The 3,337-nt window shown below is 38.6% G+C and overlaps 1 protein-coding gene and 1 long non-coding RNA gene across 42 annotated transcripts in view; one reads left to right on the plus strand and one right to left on the minus strand.

Annotated features, from left to right (window-relative positions):
• The window catches only part of LIMCH1 (LIM and calponin homology domains 1), a 340,438-nt gene that overhangs the window by 190,645 nt on the left and 146,456 nt on the right, over nt 1-3,337 (plus strand). The gene's annotated exons all lie outside the window — the stretch shown is intronic.
• The window catches only part of LOC105374423 (uncharacterized), a 38,461-nt gene that overhangs the window by 6,798 nt on the left and 28,326 nt on the right, over nt 1-3,337 (minus strand). Inside the window, exon 2 of the long non-coding RNA XR_001741667.2 lies at nt 1,194-1,367. This is a non-coding gene — a long non-coding RNA (uncharacterized LOC105374423). The remainder of the gene's footprint in view (nt 1-1,193; nt 1,368-3,337) is intronic.

Below are 3,337 nucleotides of genomic sequence, written 5' to 3' on the forward strand. Positions count from 1 at the left end.
TTTTTCCTATTGATTCAGTCAACAGGTATTAATTTAGCACATGTGGCAGGTGATCAATTAATACCTGTTGACTGAATCAATAGGAAAAATAATTTGATACCTTTAGCTCATTTTATTCTCCTAGGTATTTAAAAAATGAGCCTTCTACTTTCAAAATGCTCTGGAGTAAATGGCTCAAGGCCATCTCATTTCACCATCTCTAGGTGCCTCAAGTTGGAATCAATCATACACCACTTGGCCTGAAATTCAGATAAGAGTTGACAGGAAGTGGGCAGGAACTGTTTCCTTGTTTTTTATTGTTTGTATAAATGTTAAGTGCCATGGCAACAAAAAACTAACAGCCAGATGAAGAACAGAAACATATGGAGAAGTGAAAGACAACCTTGAAAAGAGATATTTGAAAGAAATTATTCATTTGGCTCATCTTGATATGAGTGAGTGTATTGCTAACATGATTGATTGTGTTCCTGAGTAGAAATGCAAGCTTACTAAGATTAGAGAATTAATGAATTAATTGGTACTCCTTCTTATTCTACAAAGGACTGGAAACATAAAAATATTAAGTTATAGTTGGGGGAAAAAGTAAAAGCTTTGACTGTGGAAAATATCAGTGTAACCAAAAGATAATATAACTTTTATAATCGGGGCACACACTTTACTCTGAGTTTCCGGGCAGCCACAGCAAAAAGGAAAATATGATTAATTACAAAGCTTTTAGCTTCCATCAGACTTAGTTAATTTCTCATGAGGAAGAAAGTTATTCTTAACATCTAGGTTTAAAAGAAATTCCTTTCATAGGTATTCATATTGGAGACTAACTCTTTGATTCCAAAAATTCAGAATGTTTCTTCTATCTTTCTTCCTCCATGATAGGAAATTGATCCCATTCAAGATGAGAAGTAAGTTTCTAAAGTCATTGTCAAGGCAGCTGTCTAATTAGGTAAGAATACAGATGGACTGTGAGGGGAAATATGTCTTTGATCCTTCCAGCAATATCTACAGAGTTCATGAGTTTAGTTGAACTTTCATAATTATGGATATTTATAACAGCCTTGCCTTCTATTGCTAGGCTCAGAGATCCTTCCAAACAAGTGCATGATTCTTAAAATTTTCCAAAGGAGTTGCTCAGGACAAAATAACACTGGTAAGACTTGCTTTTCTTTATATAGTTGTATCATGAAGTTAGCACTTACTTTTATCAAATTCAAATGGTCAATACTGGGCATCTTCCAGGGGTAGGCTGTATTGCTGGCATTGGGCACTCCAAGGATACAAATACGAGATGAAATTAGAGTGTTTGGATGAAGCCGAGGTCAAGGAACTATACCCTGCAGGCCAAAACCAGCCTGCTTCCTTTTGTTCATGGCCTGTGGGATAAGAATAGTTTTTATATCTTTAAATGGTTGGAAAAAAATAAAAGAAGAATATTTCATAATACATGGAAATTAAGTGAATTTCTAATTTCAGTGTCTATAAACATAGTTTTATTGGAATACAGCCATGTTCACTCATTTATGTAGTATCCATGGCTACTTTCATACCACAGTGGCAGAGTAGATACAACAGAAAACATATGGACCACAGAGCCTGAAATGTGTACTATTTGGCCCTTTCAGAAAAAGTTTACCAATTCCTGTTATAGTGGAGAAAGTGCTTTCTATGTGTATTAGTCTGTTCTCGTGCTGCTAATAAAGACATACCCAAGACTGGATAATTTATAAAGGAAAGAGGTTTAATGGACGAACAGTTCCGCATGGCTGGGGAGGCCTCACAATCATGGCAGAAGAGCAAGGGACGTCTTACATGGCAGCAGGCAAGAGAGAGCGTGTGCAGGGGAACTCCACTTTGTAAAACCATCAGATCTTGTTATGAGACTTATTCACTATCAGGAGAACAGCATGGGAAAGACCTGCCCCCATTATTCAGTTACCTCCCACTGACTCCCTCCCACAACTTGTGGGGATTGTGGGAGCTACAATTGAAGATGAGATTTGGGTGGAGACACAGCCAAACCATATCACTATGTGTTCATGAGCTGTGTGAAGAGTCTGTAAAAAGAAGAACCGTCTTCTCTTGTAGACAGGGCCCTCTATCTGTGTGGTGCATCCTTTATATCTCCATATACTGATCTTTAAAACATGGCATGTGCCACGCCTGCATCAGGATCCATCTGAGAGGAAGAACACTCCAGAAGGCTCGAATCATGAGCTCAGGGCCAATATAAATGCCATCGCGTTACTTTGGAGGCTTTCCCTACAGGCTCTTGTTCTCTTGGAATCAGTGCCTTTTCCTGTCTCTTGCTTCTTGTTCTCCTAGGCTGCTGCTCACCAATCCATAAAAATTATAAACATGGATATTTAAAAATTTTGTGACACAAAGTATTCAAATTACCCTGCCACTACCTCTTCTAGACACTTGGTCTGTTCTTTATTAATGCTGTCCTTTTTTCAGGAGCTTGGATAAAATAGCTTTTAAAAATATTTGCTGAAATCTGTTTGCCTTTCTGCTAGGCTCTGCATTTTATGTCCTTATTACTATTTGATTATGATAATTTTAAAGCATTATATAATCAGAAGTAAGACAGACTTTAAGAATTATGAGCTGAAAGTTCAGTTTCATGGCTCATGGAAGTAATATATATAGTTATCTCCTTAGGAATTTTAATTATTTGAGGTGAGCTGTTTAAAAAAATAAAAGTGCAAAGTGCTTATGTGTTTAATTCCTATTCCAATCCCCAAAAATCTGAATGGAGATTTATAAAATCATGTAATTATGGGGTTAACGTGACCCTAGGTGCCACTGGTATAATCAGCCTTCCAGGCGCTACAAGAATCTCTTCTCTCCCTTCTGGAGTGATGGCCAGTTGGTCTCTGCGAGATCTCTCGCAGTGATGGGCAGCTGTCTGACTCCTGATTTAGTTCTGTTATCATGTGACTGTCTACTGTGCCAGCCACTGTGCATTCGGGGTTACAACCATGAATGGCATGGTCTCCACCTTTGAGGAACTATTTAGTAGGGGAGGCAGACAATTTCAGTTTAGCATGGTAGGTGATAAGATGGATATATTCACAAAGTGCTGTGGGAACATAGAGGAGGGCCTTAATTGAGTCTACTTGGGAATTTGGAGAAATCTTCCTAAAAGACTTACAGGAGGTGAGTCTTGAAGGATAACTGAGTTCACCAGGCAGAAAGAAAAAGGTGGTATGTATGTTCCCAGCAGATAGAACAGCATGAGCAAAGTGTGCAAGATACCACTAGACCAGTGGATGAGGTAGGGTGTGGTGGGGGATGAGGAGGGCAGGGAGATATGGACTAAGTCTTGAGAATCCCTGTGTAC

Source organism: Homo sapiens, chromosome 4 (assembly GCF_000001405.40).
Source record: "Homo sapiens chromosome 4, GRCh38.p14 Primary Assembly".
NCBI lineage: Eukaryota > Metazoa > Chordata > Mammalia > Primates > Hominidae > Homo > Homo sapiens.